This window comes from Homo sapiens, chromosome 7, assembly GCF_000001405.40.
Source record: "Homo sapiens chromosome 7, GRCh38.p14 Primary Assembly".
NCBI classification, from domain to species: domain Eukaryota; kingdom Metazoa; phylum Chordata; class Mammalia; order Primates; family Hominidae; genus Homo; species Homo sapiens.
Window position 1 is genome coordinate 103,042,737 of NC_000007.14, and position 19,424 is coordinate 103,062,160.

General features: G+C 39.0%; 1 protein-coding gene across 17 annotated transcripts in view; it reads right to left on the reverse strand.

Moving 5' to 3' along the window:
* Nucleotides 1-19,424, reverse strand: part of FBXL13 (F-box and leucine rich repeat protein 13) — a 263,608-nt gene that overhangs the window by 231,548 nt on the left and 12,636 nt on the right. For 12 of the 17 annotated variants that reach the window (NR_105043.2, XR_927410.4, XM_017011850.3 and 9 more), the window contains exons 2-3: nt 12,908-13,011; nt 12,352-12,442 (exon numbers count right to left, since the gene is read on the reverse strand). Coding sequence is in view for 10 of the 17 variants with exons in the window: in XM_017011850.3 (XP_016867339.1) it covers nt 12,352-12,442; nt 12,908-13,011 (195 nt within the window). In the remaining 7 variants the exon portion in view is untranslated. Of the gene's footprint in view, nt 1-4,072; nt 4,285-5,379; nt 5,451-12,351; nt 12,443-12,907; nt 13,012-19,424 lie in introns of those variants that run through there. The other 5 variants (NM_001287150.2, NM_001111038.2, NM_145032.3 and 2 more) reach the window with 3 other exon arrangements.

The following is a 19,424-nucleotide window of genomic DNA, read 5'->3' on the forward strand; positions in this document are numbered from 1 at the left end:
TAAATTGTGCTGAAAAAACTGGCTAGCCAAGTGTAGAAAGCTGAAACTGGATCCCTTCCTTACACCATATACAAAAATTAACTCAAGATGCATTAAAGACTTAAATGTAAGACCTAACACCATAAAAACCCTAGAAGAAAACCTAAGCAATACCATTCAGGACATAGGCATGGGCAAAGACTTCATGATTAAAACACCAAAAGCAATGGCAACAAAAGCCAAAATAGACACATGAGATCTAATTAAACTAAAGAGCTTCTGCTCAGCAAAAGAAACTATCATCAGAGTGAACAGGCAACCTGTAGAATGGGAGAGAATCTTTGCAATCTACTCATCTGACAAAGGGCTAATATCCAGAATCTACAAAGAACTTAAACAAATTTACAAGAAAAAAACAAACAACCATATCAAAAAGTGGGCAAAGGATATGAACAGACACTTCTCAAAAGAAGACATTTATGCAGCCAACAAACATATGAAAAAAAGCTCATCATCACTGGTCATCAGAGAAATGCAAATCAAAACCACAATGAGATACCATCTCATGCCCATTAGAATGGAGATCATTAAGAAGTCAGGAAACAACAGATGCTGGAGAGGATGTGGAGAAACAGGAATGCTTTTACACTGTTGGCGGGAGTGTAAATTAGTTCAACTGTTGTGGAAGACAGTGTGGTGATTCCTCAAGGATCTAGAACTAGAAATACATACCATTTGACCCAGCAATCCCATTACTGGGTATATACCCAAAGGATTATAAGTCATGCTACTATAAAGACACATGCACACGTATGTTTATTATGGCACCTCCGTCGCCGAGGCCGGAGTCTAATGGCATGATCTCAGCTCACTGCAACCTCAGCCTTCAGGGTCTGGGCAATTCTCCTGCCTCAGCCTCCCAAGTAGCTGGGATTACAGGTGTGTGCTACCATGCCCAACTAATTTTTTTGCATTTTTAGTAAAGACAGGGTTTCACCATGTTGGCCAGGCTGGTCTTGAACTCCTGACCTCAGGTGATCCACCTGCCTTGGCCTCCCAAAGTGCTGGGATTACAGGTGTGAGCCACTGCACCCAACCTGAATATACACATCTTAAAAGCAAAAAGAATTGCATAATCTTCTTAAACTGCATTCAGTAGTCTTTTTGTTAGTGGTTCTATGGTAATGTTATTCGGAAATCATTATATGCACATTGTAGGATACAATTAATACAGAATGATATTAAGATCTCTAGGAGTCAAGATTCATTAAAAGTGGGTCAACCAGATCATGTGTGCCTCCAGATGTGATGCACTAGGAAAAACACAACACCTCTATGCAATATTATTGTCCACACAAAATGTTGGTAGGGGGGAACCTGAATGAAATCAAGCATCTAGATTTAACTACCAGCTTGCATGAAATACGGGAAACAGAGTAAGTAAAATGACACTAGAGGAAGCATTGAGAACCTGGGACATTTTACAAGACAAATTACCCGTTTCCTTCAATAAATAAGTCGCATGCAGAAAAAATAAGACAAGGAGAATTCTTGTCCATTACAAGAGATGTTAGATAAATAACAACCAAGTGCAATATGTAGACTCTGTATGAATTCTGATTTGAACACAGCCACATGTAAAAAGACATTTTTGAGACAATCTGGGAAACTAAAATATAGAATATGAATCTGAATATAATCAGGACTAGATGACATTCAGGAATTATTGTTATTTATTCATAAGACAGTGGCACTGTGTTTCTATTCTCTAAAAATATAATCTCCTATTAGAGATGCACACTACAGTATAATATAATTTCTGGGATTTGCTTTCTAATACTCCAGCAAAAATGGAGGAAGAGAGAATAAATTAACAAGATTGGCAAAATGCTGATTATTGTTCAAGTTAGATGATGAGTGATCATTATGGTATTCCTTCTACTTCTGTGTTATATTAAAATGTTTCCATAATAAAAAGATTTTTTAAATTTTATATATGCTTTCTCTTGTAGTTAGAAGGCCCATCTGGAGATTTCATTTCCTAAGAAATGAGAACCAAGTCTGTGAAGTTCATTTCCTCCTTACAATGGTTGATTCTTTCATCTTGGAATGCTTGAAACAATGAAATTGTCTTTCCTTCTACTATTATGAGAGCAGTTCCTACTTTTTCTTTACTATTTGGCTTACTCACAGTTTCCTGTATTCACTCGTCTTTAAGTAGAGACATATTTATCCTTTATAAATAGGCAATGATAAAAGAAAAACTTCAGCCGAATTAAATGTAAAGGAATTTAATTGAGCAATGAATAATTTGTGAATTGGGCAGCCCCCAGAATCACAGCAGATTCAGAGAGACTCCAGTGCAGCCACATGGTGGAAGAAGATTAATAGACACAAAAAGGGAAATGATGTGCAGAAATTGGAAGTGAGGTACACAACAGCTGGACTGGTTACAGATTGGTGTTTGCCTTATTTGAACACAGTTTGAACACTCAGCAGTGTATGAATGGTTGAAGTATGGCTGCTGGGATTGGCCAAGACTCAGCTATTGATACACGTGCATACTCCTAGTTAGGTTTTCAATCTTGTCTATCTATTAAGCTAGGTTGCAGTTCGTCCACAAAGACTCAAATATAGAAACAGGGAATCCTTCTCAGGCCACATTTAGTTCACTTTAACAACTTCCCCCTTTTGGTCATTTTCTCAATTTTGAGAGATTGACCAAAACTTTAATTATCAATGTCACTATCACCATTGTAAAAGTACTTATTTGGTCTTGAAACATACTGGGAAACAGTAGAACATTGAGTTTTGCAAAGGTAAAAACAAGTATGAGTAGAGGGACCCTTTATGGGTACCTCTTTATGCTGGAATGTCCTATTTACAGGAGAAAAACAAAACCTGGTCTGTTCTAGGATCTATGTGTTTCCGTAAAGTCTTAGTTTGATTATGTCACATTTAGCATAAGTGACCCCATTTTAGTTTGGTTTGGCCTGTTGGGGCCTAGTGAATGAGCTTAGTCCAAAACAGTGGCCTCCCACAACTTTGTTTAAAAAAGATTCCCCCCTTTTTGGTCAGGTTCTCACTTAGGTGAAAGTGTGACCAAAACTTAGGGCCTTAGTGCCACTCTCAGTTACCATCATTTTGGGTTTCCAGTCTCACCACGTCATTCATAGGTTATAGTAATCTCATGGTCGCACATTTCTTTCAGCTCGTCTTTCCATTTGAAGAGAGACCATTTGACATTCTAGAGGTGGCTGCATGCAAGATTTAAAACCTTCGAGAGAATACAGTGCACCAGGGAGACTATTATTATGACTCTCAGGAGGATAATACCAAGAGTTTAGAGTATGCTCCTTACCCAGGGTACCCATAAACCGAACCACCTAAAATTAAATAGATTAAAGAATGAGCTGGATAAAGAGTCTACTTGCTTTAAGTGGTCTTTTCATTAATCATCTACAACTGAATTTTTATAATCTACGTTTGATGTATTTCTCCATAGGCCACAAGTGTCAGAAGCTGCACAGGTACTTTTCTGTTTAGCCAATTATATTATTTAGCATAACTTTCACAAGAGAATTTAAAGTCTGTTGTGTAACAATAGGCTTTACATTAGAATCTGCTATACAGCCTATCATGAGGGATACATTTCTAATTATTGCCTCTTTTATTCTAAACCATGGAAAAAGGACCTAACAAATGATGTCCTTCTAGAAGAGTGAAGGCCTCCTGGCAATGTTCTATTTAACCCATGATGTGGGCTAAGAGGAGTTTTGACTGATTATGAGGCGACATATATACCATTAAAGTTTCTCACCTATGTTGGGCCTTCATCTTTTATCCATCAAAGTATAAAGTTATTCATGTATAAGGCTGGTGCAAAATCCTTCACGAATAAAAGTATACCCTATAAGTGCACATAATAGACCCCCTCATCATTTCTATTGGCTACAGAGGCATAAATAAGGAAAAAATATTCAAAGATAAGAGTCTCACAATAGTAGATGTCTTGATCTGTGATCTCGGGAAAAGCTGTTTACATCAAGGATGCCATCTTATTCTGGGGAGAAACTTTCCTGGTTAGTTTTACCTTAAGGGTTCCAATGGGTGTACAGTTCCAATAGTGTGGAGGGACCCTTCTCAGTTGTGAGATTATGAACTTAAAGTTCAAGGTTCCAAAGTTTTGTTGCAGTGTGGATGGCAAGCACAGTCTTTCTCTGATGTTCTCAAAAGATCCAGTCTTTAGGTTCTAGACTGTGAAGCAGTTGATTATCCTCGGTGAACCATAAAAACTTTCTTTACCTGGTGAAAATATACTGTGGCGTAATAATTACTGTAGCATAAAACATGCATTAAAAATGACAGTTGAATGAACTCCCTTTATAAATGTTTAAATGACCCATCGGATAGCCAAACGTACCTGATAGCCAAGCGTACATGAAGGTTTGATTGTCTTCCCAGGAATATGGAACCAAACATTGGTTTTAAACTATTTTTGAAATGTATAAGTCATTATATCAATATATTCAATTTGGATGATTTTATCTTTTCCATGATGAGTCATGGAATGCAGAGCCTTTAATAACAAAAGCTTTAAGGGCTCAGGAAGGACAAGATAGCCTTCCTGGTCTTCCATGAGTCTATGCTTAATATTGGACTTATGTCCTGTTGAATACCAGTTGTTTCTCCAATTTAAATTCATAGCACTGATAACTAATGGTTATCACAGGTAATGAGACTTAGACTATGGAATTCAAATTGTATATCTAATCAATTTCACTATCGGCTGGTTTAACATGAAAATCTTGGCAAAGTATTTTCTTGGTATTTAATTAATTTTTTGTTTTACTTGGGTTAGCAGTTCTATACAAGGAAGTTTGGTTATTTCTGTGATATACAATAACTTAACATAATAACTATAATTATGGTTGACAGTATATACTCAGACATATTAGAATTTTATAAGTCCTATACATTTTTTTTTGTTTGTTTTTGAGATGGAGTCTTGCTCTGTCACCCAGGCTGGAGTGCAGAGGCACGATCTTGCCTCACTGCAACCTCCGCCTCCTGGGTTCAAGTGATTCTTCCACCTCAGCCTCCCAAGTAGCTGGGCTTACAGGCACCCGCCACCATGCCTATCTAACTTTTTGTACCTTTAGTAGGGACGGGGTTTCACCATGTTAGCCGGGCTGGTCTCAAACTCCTAGCCTCAGGTGATCTGCCTTCCTCGGTCTCCCAAAGTGTTGGGATTACAGGCATGAGCCACTGTGCCTGGCCCCATACAATTTTAGAACATACATTAATATCATTCACTAAAATATAACCTGAAGATTAAACATTATTTTTATTTTGACAATGCTTCCCATGTAACTTAACATGTTAAATAATTCTGTTTACCTCTCTTTTGGATGCTTCAGGGGCCCTCTGTAGCGTTCCAAAGTTAGAGGTCAGAAAAGACCATTTTAAAGCTGAAATTTAATTTTGGGAAGCCTATTAAATATAAAGATATATATATAAAGTTTTAAAACACTTGATATTATGAACTAGAATTCCAGGTCACTGTAAGTCACTCACTTAGCCAAAATGATGACTCAAAAAATTTTTTAAAGGCAAAAACCTTTACTCATTGATAGAGGGAAGACTCAGCTTTCCAAACAATCTGTCTTTTGTCTTTCCTTTCTTTTTTTTTTTTTTGATAGTGTATTTAAAAGGCAAACAAAACAAAAATCTTTCATTACCTTTTAATATTACATGAAAATCTTGTTCAAGAGAGAAAGCCAAATTTCACCCTTGCATTAGTGGACTATTAATGTCAACCCCAATTTTTAATAAAACCTCACAGACAAATCTATCTAATCTTAATCAGTTTGACCATAAGGTGAGATTTTCATAAACCTTTTATAACCCTTTACCAATTTTTATTAAAGAGCAGATTAGTGCTTTAAGAAAACCCTATTATGCTTTTATTTCAATGTTCAATTTACAGAAAAACTGAACAATACACTTTTAAATTTAGTCAATATTTTCACACACAGAATTTCTTTTACAAATTTTTACAAACCTTCCACAACTTGTTCAAACCTTTAGCTTTATTCTATTTAATTTAAAACAATCCTTTAACCCATTAAACTAGGTAAAAATTTACATTCCCATGCATTCTTATAATCTCTTACCAAAAACATGTTTCATTCTCCTCACACACCTTGCGTGTAAACCTAGTTTTTCAGTAGTCTCAATCACATGTTATAATGGTAATTCTTAGCAACTTTCACTTTTGGTGCATAAATTTTCTTTTATGAATCCTTTCACGACTTACACAGACCATCTACAACATGCTTGGTCTTTCTGACTTGTCCTAAACATCCCTCTTTTTAAACAACCAGTCATTTTACTTTAGGACAAGAATTTACTCTACAAGATCCTTTCTTATATAAAATCTCTTTTCTTTATAACCTTCTTTTCATAGCTAGGTGGCATGGCTAATTCCACATATCCCCAGGACTTATTTAGAATGTAATGTCTCCAAAATAAATTCAACAATTTTCAAAGGTCAAAGCAGTTTATGGCCTTAAACATATTAAGCAAACCTAATATCTGACCTGCATAATTTAGACTAAATGTCTTTATTTTATCAATAATCTTTAAAGCTGTTTATATTTCCCAAAGATGACTTAAGTTACATGAACTAAAAAGCATTACAGTTTTTCTTTCAAAATATTTAAGCACTTATTTTTGTTTAAACCAATGAATTAGAGTTCTTTTATACAAACATTACACACACAACACATATATAACTACACAGACAAACCAAAGAAGATTACTACAGTAGTTGTAAGATTTTCCATTCACCAGTTTTTAAGTTTCTTAATTAGATTACTGGCTTTGGGGTGGAGTCCTCGCAAGAACAGGGCCAAGAAAGGATCTCTGGTGCCTCCTGTTTTTCCCAAGGAGTCCCAGGCTGTGAGAGCTTGAATATCCACTTTTAATTAAGCTGACTTTTAACCATAGCACTCTTTAATAAAGTCCTTTTAAAATTTCTTATTACCCGACTTTAGCCAGGCCAAAGAGCTGATATTTCTGGCTTTTAAACTTTACCCAAGGTAACCTCACAGGTGCTCTGAGAAAGGAAAATTCAAGACAGTTGGTGGAGGGGAAGAGAATCAAAAAATGGCAAAGGTCACCCAAATATCAATCAGAAAGGCTCATCCCCTAAGCTAGGGATTGAACTCTGAACCCAGGCCACCATTGTGAAAAGAGAAAGCATAGCCACGTGGCTACAAGGTCAAGCGCCTAAGCACATAACTGACCAGTTTGCTGGGTCGTCTTGAACAACAGGCTTATGAGGTTTTGGGCACACATTTTATCCTAAGGTACCCCTCTTTATGACAGAACAATACAGAAAGACACACAAAGCACATCAGATTCACTACAGCTTAAGAGAAGCCTCAGAATTTTTTTTGTATCAATCAAAACTTTACACGGGAGATAAGAGTAATTTTTGCCATTCATTTAACCATTTTGCACAAAGAAAAAGAGGAAAAAAGCCAGAAATATGACTGGTAAGAAATTCTTACCCTTTTACTAGCATGCCAGGCTTCTGGGCTTTCTTTCCCTTTCCCTGAGCAGCCCTAGCGTCCCAGCTTGCCACACCATCGCCCTGGGGGCCAAGCTGCATCATAAAGGAAAATTAACTTTTTTCGTTTTGGCCAGAACAAAACACATATGATAAAACATAGACATTAGCCACTCTGCTTAGCACCCAATATCAAACTGGTAAGGCTTAAATTTGCCTTCAGATGGCCCCTGTCATCTTTAATCCAACCTCCAACTAGGAGTTTCAACACATGGTCTCTGGGCAAGATGGTTGCCCTGAGTAACAGAAAAGATAGGAAAGGAAAGGTAGAGAAAGAAAAGTATTGCCTGTGGCAAGGTGGGGAAGGTGAAGAGCTCAGGGAGGCCAGAGCAAGACCCACTCATTGCAATGACACTGAAAAATTCAGGCGGCCACTTGTCAGTAGTGAAGGCATCTTTTCCAGCAATCCCATCAGCTCTCAAGTTTCCCCTTTTGGGGAGGAAAAAGCTTCCCATGTCCCATGGTCCTGTACATGCCTAATACTGTCACCTATAGCCGTCAGCAAAAAGTACAAGACAGATTAATCAAAAGAGAATAGCAGTTAACATCCCATAGCGCCAAACCTGTTCTTAACTGAAAGAGACTTTACTGAGAACCCTCATTTTTAAACACACTTCATTGCTTTGTTGCTCATTTGGAACATTCCACTGTAAGTTACCTTTAGTAAGATTTTGTCATTTCTCTAAGACTATGCTGCCTCCCAGGCCTAATGTATAAGCTGGAAGGAACTTAGTTTTCCAGAAATTAAGGATCTCATTTTTACCTAAAATATTGGCTTGATTCTCAGGGTCTCTTGATTAACTGAGCCAATGATTTTTCCTACCTAAGCATGCAAGAAAAATGAAACAAAGGGGTAGAACATAAAAATTCCTGTGAATTTTCAAAAGCCAACTTTTATAACCCCTGCAATATTACTGCTTACTATCAGTTCCTTTCTGAACCAGTCAGGTGTAAGAGACCTCTAACTGGATCCAAGCCAATTAATTCCCAGATCAAATCCATTCCTGGACCCAGCTGAGTTTCTGTCGTGACTTCCAAACCCTGTTTGGATCAGAAATTTGCTCAAAGAAACTCGGAGAGCTCAAAACACAAATCCATGGAGCTCTGAAATCCGAGAGAGAGCTTACCCACGATCCCCAGCTGCTCTGAGAGATCAGTGAACACAAGTGGGTCCTGCAGGTACCTTGTTTGTTCAGTTCACTCAACGCTCCTGGGGTCGCTAGAAGCTCTACCTCAGATCCCATTTCTGACACCATCTGATAAAAGAAAAACTTTAGCCGAATTAAATTTAAAGGAGTTTAATTGAACGATGAACAATTTGCAAGTCAGGTAGCCCCCAGAATCACAGCAGATTCACAGAGACTCCAGCGCAGCCACCTGGTGGAAGATTTATAAACAAAAAAGGGGAAATGATGTACAGAAATTGGAATTAGGTATAGAACAGCTGGATTGGTTACAGATTGATGTTTTCCTTGGTTGAACACAGTTTGAACACTCAGTAGTGTATGAATGGTTAAAGTACGGCTGCTGGGATTGGCCAAGTCTCAGCTATTGTTACAGGCACATACTCCTAGTTAGGTTTTCAATCTTGTCTACCTATTAAGCTAGGTTGCAGTTCTTCCACAAGAACTCAAATACAGAAGTACAGAGTCCTTCTCAGGACATATTTAGATCACTTTAACAGCACATATTGGCAGTCCTCACTGTGCAGAACTGTGTAGTGTAAGACTGAAAAACCCTGCAATTAGGCAATCCACAATTAATGGGAAAAATTATAGTTATTCATAACCTTTGAAGTTTTTTGTTGAAACATTAAAAATCATTTTACTGCCAGTTATAACGGTATGGAAAACCACATAGGAAAGGCATATGAAAAAAAGTAAAACCAATATTCATTTAGTATACTATACATTTTTTTTAAGAGATGAGGTCTCACTATGTTGCCCAGGTTGGTTTCAAACTCCTGGCCTCAAGCAATTCTCCTACCTCAGCCTCCTAAGTAGATGGGAGTACAAGTGCATGCCACTGTGCCTGGCTTTAGTGTATATACTTTAAAATATCAAAAATATTGAGGACTAAAGTGTTTTGCTTCTTTGTAAAAAAAAAAATTTCATTTTTCTCTGACGGTGGAGGAGAAATTAATGTGGATCCAACCTAGGTTGAGCCCTCTAACAAGCAACCCTAGGACACTTGGAGATTCACATTTTCATGTCTAACCTTAACAAATATTTTCGTCATTGCTTTTGCAAAGTCATATCTCATTTTTATTATTTCCAACTTATTATATGAAGTGGACACCTTTTCTATGCCTTGGCAAACTGTCATAACTCTAAGTTTGGATCAGCTTCTAATATTTTAACTTTTGCATTTTCAACATCATGAAACATCTCTGACAATTCCTTTTCTTTTTTTTTTTTTTTTTGAGATGGAGTTTCATTCTGGTCGCCCAGGCTGGAGTGCAGTGGCACGATCTCGGCTCACTGCAACCTCCGCCTCCCAGGTTCAAGTGATTCTCCTGGCTCACCCTCCCAAGTAGCTGGGATTACAGGCACCCGCCACCACGCCCAGCTAATTTTTGCATTTTTGGTAGAGACAGGATTTCACCATGTTGGCCAGGCTGGTCTCAAGCTCCTGACCTCAGGTGATCCACCCGCCTCAGCCTCCCAAAGTGCTGGGATTACAGGCGTGAGCCACTGCGCCCAGCCGACAATTCCTTTTCTAATAAAACTTTAGGTTTGAAGTAGCTATGATGTCTCTTGAAATTCTCTACAGGTTTTTTGTTTGTTTTTGTTTTGTTTTGTTTTGTTTTGTTTTTTGAGACGAAGTCTTGCTCTTGTGTCGCCCAGGCTGAAGCACAGTGGCGCAATCTTGGCACATTGCAACCTCCACCTCCTTGATTCAAGTGATTCTCCTGCCTCAGCCTCCTGAGTAGCTGGGATTACAGGCACCCGCCACCATGCCCAACTAATTTTTGTACTTTTAGTAGAGACAGGGTTTCACCATGTTGGCCAGGCTGCTCTCGAACTTCTGACCTCAGGTGATCCACCTGCCTCGGCCTCCCAAAGTGCTGGAATTACAGGCATGAGCCACCGCACCCAGCCAGAATTCTCTGCAGTTTTTAAGTGATTCCCTACGGGCTTCTAGCTGGACACTGGACACAGCCTGATTTTATATAAGGTCTTTGTCGTAATATTGACAATAGGGTTTACCACGCTAAATCAGTGGTTTTCAAAAACTTTAGCATATTTTAGCAATAGTTGTCAAGCTTTTCTCAAGCAAAATCATACTGAAACCAAAACTATTCTGGAGTATAGGAGTAGGCATACACAACCCAGAATCCTGTCCCCTAGGCCTCTCCCTCAGCTCCTGAGGTTGTCCCCAAACAGCTCCAAAAACACAGTAATTTGCAGATATCTGCACTCCATAGGTCAAAAGTCTGTGGTTAATAAAGTACTATAAAAACACCTACACACCATGATGCAGATCAAGTAGGATGGGATACATGGGTTCTGCCCAGTGTACTGGCACCTCAGAATCATCTCATCCCTCTAATTCTGTTTCTCTGTTGCAGACCACTGATTAGGATCCAGTGTTACTCTCCACCCATCCTTCTAAACAGATGCCTCAAATTGTTTTTGCCTCTCAGCCCCCACCTTGAACATGGCTTTGATTCCACTTTTCAACATCCAACTTCAGTAGCAACTCCAAGTCCTGCCTGGACCTACCAGACAACAGCCCTGTAATCAAGAGATATCATGCACGGGCCAAGCACAGTGGCTCACACCTGTAATCTGAGGCTGAGGCAGGTGGATTGCCTGAGGTCAGGAGTTCGAGACCAGCCTGGCCAACATGGTGAAACCCCGTTTTTACTAAAACACAAAAAATTATATTTTAGTGGCGTGGCAGCATGCATCTGTAATCCCAGCTACTTGGGAGGCTGAGACAGGAGAATCACTTGAACCCGGGAGGTGGAGGTTGCAGTGAGCCAAGATCGCGCCATTGCACTCCAGCCTGGGCAGCAGAGCAAGACTCCGTCTGGAAAAAAAAAAAAAAAAAAGAGAGAGAGTTATCACACATGGTTCCACACATATCTAATTTGTGTTAGTATTTCTCTCTTCATGTGCCTTTTGCTCTGTTAGCCTCTCTTAAACATTTATCTTTGTTCTAAAGTCTTCATGTCCTAAATTACTTCCTTGCCCTCTTTACAGGATCAAAACTAGCTGCTGGTACCAGTTTTCAGTAACAATGAGATCTGTCTTTTAAGTTGGATGTCAATAATATTTTGGTCATGTCATTACGAGCATGATTCCCTGTAACCTAATCTGAGAAGGCAGACAGCAGAGAGAATGGGCGGTGGAATGGAACACAGAAGGAAGCAGATTAGAAAGGAAAGAAAACATCCTCTTGTAAAGCTTTCCATAATTCTATTTTCATCTTTATAAAGATGCACGAGAGGAGAAGGAGGAGAAAGAGGAAAGGGGGAAAACTTAATGGAAAGATTTTATAAGAGAAGGAACAAATGCCTTTGTAAATACTTTCTGGAAATTTGGGAAGGTTACTATGAATGTGGCTTTGCATGCGTCTGTGTATGTGTGTGGCTATTCCTTCACTTTTCTCGGTGCCCCCAACAACAAAAACAGTCTGACCTCACACCTCCCATAAATATAAAATCTACTTGGAAAATTCCATCGAAGTTTAAAATATATATTTGCGTATTCTTGATTACTAATAATTACCAGCTGATCATCCAATTCAAAAAGTTGTTCCAGGTAAGTTTCAGACAATCTTCGAATGTTTGGTTTCATTGATGGAGTAATGCACATATCCCTTTAATAACATCATAAAATACAGTCAAAATTAATTTCATTAATTAGTTAGTTCCGTAATTAAATCAGTGATTCTTGTAGGTGGAATGAAAGGGAGGAGAAGGAAAACACATTTCCCCTTAGGAGAAGCAGATCAGAATCACCTGGAGGACTTTTTCAAACTACTCTCGCAAGATTTTGCTGTGTCCCCCAAAGGAGGATATGCCTCCCTTTCCTCTTTCCCAACTTGAAATAAACCGGCCCTATGAACACGTTACTGATAAGAATACACCGTATTTCTCAGGTTGAGATCTAGTGGGCAAATTATTCAGGTTTGCGTCTTTGAAACTGAAAAGCCTGTGGAGGGATTCCTTAACAATCTTGAGATTGGAAGCATTCATTGGCAAGACCTTATTTTGTTACTATGCAATAAAAGTTTTCCTTCAAAATAAAATATTTCCCTATCAAAAATCAAAACAATACTTACCAAAGAAGATTCTGAAGACCACTTTTGATTATAACCATGATCATTCCCTCTAAATACCTCAGCGGATCCTCAGGACATGTAACAAGTATACCACATAACAGTGCCTAGGGGAAAAAAGGGAAATGGCATCAATGTTTCTGAATTTTCACGTTTTTACTAAGCAGCACGTAACTTTTTATTGTTCAATTTGTTTTGGGTTTTTTTGGTTTTTAATTATTTATTTCCATAGGTTTTTGGGGAACAGGTGGTGTTTGGTTACATGAGTAAGTTCTTTAGCGGTGATTTGTGAGATTTTGGTGCACCCATCACCTGAGCAGTGTACACTGAACCCAATTTGTAGTCTTTCATCCCTCAAACCCCTCCCACTCTTTCCCCCAAGTCCCCAAAGTCCATTGTATCATTCTATGTCTTTGCATCCTCATAGTTTAGCTCCCATTTATGAGTGAGAACGTATAATGTTTGGTTTTCCATTCCTGAGTTACTTCACTTAGAATAATGGTCTCCAGTTCCATCCAGGTTGCTGTGAATGCCATTAATTAGTTCCTTTTCATGGCTGAGTCATATTGCATCATATATATATGATGTGATATATATATCTCACAATTTCTTTATTCAATCATTGATTGATGGACACTTGGGCTGGTTCCATATTTTTGCAATTGTGAATTGTGCTGTTATAGATGTGTGTGCAAGTATCTTTTTCATATAATAACTTATTTTCCTCTGGGTAGATACCCAATAGTGGGATTGTTATCCCACTACTGATCAAATGGTAGTTCTACGTTTAGTTCTTTAAGGACTCTCCACACTGTTTACTAGTTTACTTTTTTTTTGAGCAGAGTCTTGCTCTTGTCGCCCAGGTTGGAGTGCAATGGTGCTATCTCGGCTCACTGCAACCTCCACCTCCTGGGTTCAAGCGATTCTTCTGTCTCAGCCTCCTGAGTAGTTGGGATTAAGGCATCCACCACCACGCCTAGCTAATTTTTCTATTTGTAGTAGAGACAGGGTTTCACCATGTTGGCCAAGCTGGTCTTGAACTCCTGACCTCAGGTGATCCGCCTGCCTCAGCCTCTGAAAGTGCTGGGATTACAGGCATGATCCACCATGCCCAGCCTAGTTTACATTTTCACCAGCAGTGTAGAAGTGTTCCCTTTTCACTGCATCCACGCCAACATCTATTTTTTTTTTTTATTTTTTGATTATGGCCATTCTTGCAGGAGTAAGGTGGTATCACATTGTGGTTTTGATTTGCATTTCCCTGATCATTAGTGATGTTGAGCATTTTTTCATGTTTGTTGGCCATCTGTATATCTTCTTTTGAGGACTGTGTATCCATGTCCTTAGCCCACTTTTTGATGGGATTGCTTTTTTCTTGCTAATTTGTTTGAGTTCTTTATAGATTCTGGATATTAGTCCTTTGTTGGATGTATAGATTTTCGCCTACTCTGTGGGTTGTCTGTTTACTCTAGCAGCAGCAAACTTTTTCTTATACAGTTAAAAAGTCAAATAATGTGACAGTTTTAAAGTAAATGTGTTTTTACATACCCCTCTGTATTTATTCAGTGTTAATATTCTGCTAAAGTAAAACAAAAATGCAGTTTATCTTGCCTCTTTCTAAAAATCCATCATAAACAATACAATAAAGTCACTGTACCGTGAGGGTTTGCATTACTTGAGGAGTAAGTTCTTTATAGCCAATCTGAAGACATAACTATGATGCTTTACATCAGGGTTTTCTAGCCTTTTAAAGTATGAGAAACTCATTGGGGTTGGGGGGGGTTGTTTTGTTCTGTTGTTTTGTTTTGTTTTGTTTTTGTTTTGCCAAAAAGTTCCTTAGACCCAACCATAAAAGAGATTGAGAAAATCCACCATTAAAATGTGTGAATTTAAGAACTCTTAAAAACACATTTGTATTTTATCATTCACAACATCTACCGAGTATATACATTTGAAAAATTGTAGCTTAGTACACATAGGTGGGAAACAATGGACTTGCTGGATCTAAGATACTGTTTAAAGCACATATGTGGAACTCGTAAAGTTGCTGCTGTCTCATTTTCCTTATGAGGTCCCCCCAAAAGAAGAAACTTCTTGTTAAAAGTGTCTGCAAGATATACAGAATTACTGATGTTTTCTCCATTTGAGACAGATGAAAAGGTCTGCAGCACACTTCCCACAGAAACCACCTGGAATTCTCCATCGGCATTTCTCTTTCCCTTTGTGGTTCACTGTTTTCTGGTGGGGTCTAGTGTGCATGTTGGGGGTGGTCGGGATGCTTCAGACCCACTCCTGCTGGCTTCTTCTCTTGATCCTCTATTTCCAGAATAAAATAATTCCATCACTTGAGTTACACAGAGCAGTTCTCCCTACCTCCATAGGCCAAGTGTCAGCAGATCTAGGCCTGGGGTCTTTTCTTAGACTCTCAGCAATTCTCATACTGTTCCTCCAAAACTAAAAAGGGTAATTTCTCCTAATTGGACCCTGCATAATAACAATCTCCCCCTTTGCAATGGCTCCATGCTCCTCTTCTTAGTGTACAGCCTTCAAGCAGGAAGCTCAGTCCTTTAGAGAATGGCAGAAAGGTAAGATTTAGATCCCTCTCCCTCTCCAGCTCTGCCTTCAGACCAAGCCCATAGTAACTGCTTACAAGTGCTCAGCCACCTGCAGACTGACTTCCTTTTCCCCCAAACCAAGAGACTATAGTTGCACAGGAGATTAGTGGTCTCACCACAGTTGCAACCTGAATTTGGACAGTCATCTATTACCTAAAGAGCCAGCAAGAGTGGGTCCTACAGGGACCTAACAAAAAGGGCTGAAGCCATCTATTATCTGGAGGCCAATCAGACTTCCCACAGCTCCCTCAATATCCTTGGTGAAAAGCCCATCTGCTCTCTAGCACTTCTGTGCCTGGGTCTCCAGAGTACTGAGTTTTTGTATTCCTCACTCTACATCCTTTTCTCCATCTTATTCTGGCACCCTGAGGACATCTATATCAGAATCACCTGGAGAATGAATTTGTCTCTGAGAATAGGGCCTAGAAACCTGCATTTTACTAAGCTCCCCAGGTGATTCCTATGCATACTGATGTCTGAGAATGAGTGCCTAAATGAAGTTCAGCTTTATGGTACATTTTTAAGAAAGTTGAGATCTGGTTAATGTATGTGAGAAATTGATTATATATATATTTCCAAGCTCCACTTATAATAAACTACTTTTCCTGAAAAGCTATCCTGCAGAAGTCAGGTTGAGAGGATAAGTCTCTGAAATGCTAATAAAGGCATATGGAACTAGCAGAGTTGAAATGCACACTTTTCACATAGGAAATCTCACTGTTGGCCAGGTGTGGTGGTTCATGCCTATAATCCCACCACTTTATGAGACCAAGGTGGGAGGTTTGCTTGAAGACAGGAGTTCAGGACTACCCGGGGCAATACAGTGAGACCCCATCTCTAAAAAATACAAAAATTGTTTTAAAAATTAGCTGAGCATGGTGGCGTGTGCCTGTAGCCCTAGCTACTTGCTAGGTGGGAGGTGGGAGGTGGGAGGATTGCTTAAGCCCAGGAGTTCAAGGCTGCAGTGAGTTATTATCACAACACTCTACTGCAGCCTGGGTGGCAGAGAAAGACCTTGTCTCAAAAAATAATAATAAAGAAAGAAATCTCACTGTTTGTCTTTTTCCCTTGGACAAAATAGCACAGCATGATATTTTTTGTATTAATGAGTGAACAGCGCATAGCTACATGCCAATAAGACAGCAGTTAATGAATCAATAGCTTTTTCCCTGCCCAATGAAAATAAAAATCACAAAACCATTAACTTAGTCTTTATTGTAAGCAGAAGCAAAATAAACATTCCCATAAGATTAACGTTTGACTCTCAAAAACATTAATCAGGGCCTTATTATTAATAATATTCTCAGTAAAAACTTACACAATCAAGGACAAAAAAGTCCATGAGTTAATTATTGGATTAGCTCTCTCAAGCTTGTAAATTCACAAAGCAATTACGTAATCCTCAGTTTCTTTTGGCTCTACTTCCCTACACTCAGTTCCCAATATTTCTCATCTATTCTGAAGGATGTTCTGGGTCCTGAGGACAAACATGGGTTTAACCAGGACTGTTGCTTCCACTCCTTTCTCCTGCTACCTATCTTTCAAAGAGCAAGATAATGCAAAGGGTGGAGTCCACTTGGTTTAAATCTGGGATCTGCAATCTTCTACCATGCAACCATTGACAAATTACGTCTGTTTCCGTTTCCTTAAAAAAGGGGGATAATAAAGGTTCATACGCTATAGGGCTATCATGAAAATTAAAAACTGCTTTGAATAGTGTCTAGCACAAAATAGGCATTCAACAGATAATGATAGCAAGATATTTTATATATATATATATATATATATATATATATATATATATATATACTTTTTTTTTTTTTTGAGACAAGGTCTTGCTCTGTAACCCAGGCTGGAGTGCAGTAGCACAATCAACCCAGTGTAACCTCAAGCTCTTGAGCTCAGGCAATCCTCCCACCTCAGCCTCCCAAGGAGCTAGGACTACAGGCATGAGCCCCCAAACTCACTTAATTTTGTTGTTGAAATGGAGTCTCACTCTGTTGCCCAGGCTAGTCCTGAACTCCTGGCCTTAAGTGATCGTCCTTCCTCTCAGCCTCCCAAAGTGCTGGGATTACAGGCATGAGCCACTGTGCCTGGTCCATCACTATTTTTAACCATTCCACTGTTAATTATCACCTTAATTAGAGGAAAACACTTGGACATAGAGAAAATAAATTGAAAATATTCCCTTGTACCACTCAAAGTCCAGTGTGATGACTGAGAGAGAAAGACAGAGACTGACTCTGACTTAAACCACACCTAATAGAAGATGTTAGGACAAAAGCATTTAGGGGAAAATGGCTAGGAGAGAACTGAATAGACCAATAGTTCAAATATAAATAGCAAGATAGTAACTATTATAACCCTTGGTGGACACACAAAAACAAATGTAAGACACTTAAGAGAACAAGTCTTGCTTAGCTTTTTAGATACTCAGATAAACATAGTGAAATACGCTGAGGGCTGAAATAGTAATATTATAATATAAAAAATAATTACTCCAAAAGTGCAGAGATAAAAGTGATTATCAAATACTTGGGGAACCCTCAGCAGGTGAAGAAACAGAAAAACATTGTTCAAAGTCCCTTCCATTTCCCTATCCCCTACCCCAACCTCTGAAACATATCTAAAGCAGTATCTCACAAATGATTGCCATCCCCCTGTGGGACGGAGATGGAGGTAGCACGCTGTTGTTTTGGGAGATATCTTAATTTGTATTTATGGAAGTTAGTAAGTCACAATTTTGAAAATAAAGGGGCTTTTATGTCTTTTTAACATTGAAATAGATGGTGTCAAAATTTTATTTTAGAAACTCTATAAATGAATATTCCGGAAGATTACTGAAAGAGGCCAACTAGCTTCAACATTCAGATGAGACCCCAGGAAGAGGAAGATGCCCCTCAGGACCAGACTTGAAGGGTTTTTTTTTTTTGTTTTTTTCTTTTTTGTTTTTTGTTAGACTTGAAGGTTTTTAAAGCAGACTGGACAGGACAGGTGAGGAGCAGCAGGCTCTATGAGGTAAGAGTGAGACAAAGGACTCTGATACCTGCCGGACTGGGCCTGTCCCAGAGGGGAAGCAGTCCCAGCCGTCTCATCCCCTCTAAGAAAATTGTTATTGGAAAATTAATAAATCATGTGCTTTTCTTTGTTTAGTGTCCTGTGGATTTACCTCAGGAACTACACGTGTAAACTGCCTGGCTGGGCTGAGGGAATTCAGCAAAGGTAACTGTCCTCTGGAGAAGCCACAGCCTTCCTGCCCAAGGTCCAGCAAAATGAGTTAGTGTATCCAGCTCCTCCTCTCCTAAATGGGCAGGGCAGTCCCTTGCTCAAGAATCAGCAATTTCTGATTCTTGCATCTCTGACAAATACGTGCAGCAATTAGTCTCTTAAAAAAAAATACCTGGCCCAGCACGGTGGCTCACGCCTGTAATCCCAACACCTGGGAGGCCAAGACAGGCAGATCACGAAGTCAGGAGATTGAGACTGTCCTGGCTAACACGGTGAAACCCCGTCTCTACTAAAAATACAAAAAATTAGCCAAGCATGGTGGCAGGCGCCGGTAGTCCCAGCTACTCAGGAGGCTGAGGCAGGAGAATGGCAGGAATTCAGGAGGCGGAGCTTGCAGTGAGCTGAGATCGCGCCACTGCACTCCAGCCTGGGCAACAGAGCAAGACTGCGTCTCAAAAAAAAAAAAAAAAAAAACCTGATTGGCAACTTAATCTTGAAAGAAACATAAAACATAAAAACTTCTCAGAAAAATCATAATTACCAAAAAAAAAAAAAAAAAAACAAACCTTTGCTTTAAAACCATAATTTGTAGATTAAGTACTCCCTCTGCTGAGCAGATCTGGTTTTGCAAACTCTTTTCATCTTCCCTAAATGCTAAACTGAAATTGGAGCTCACC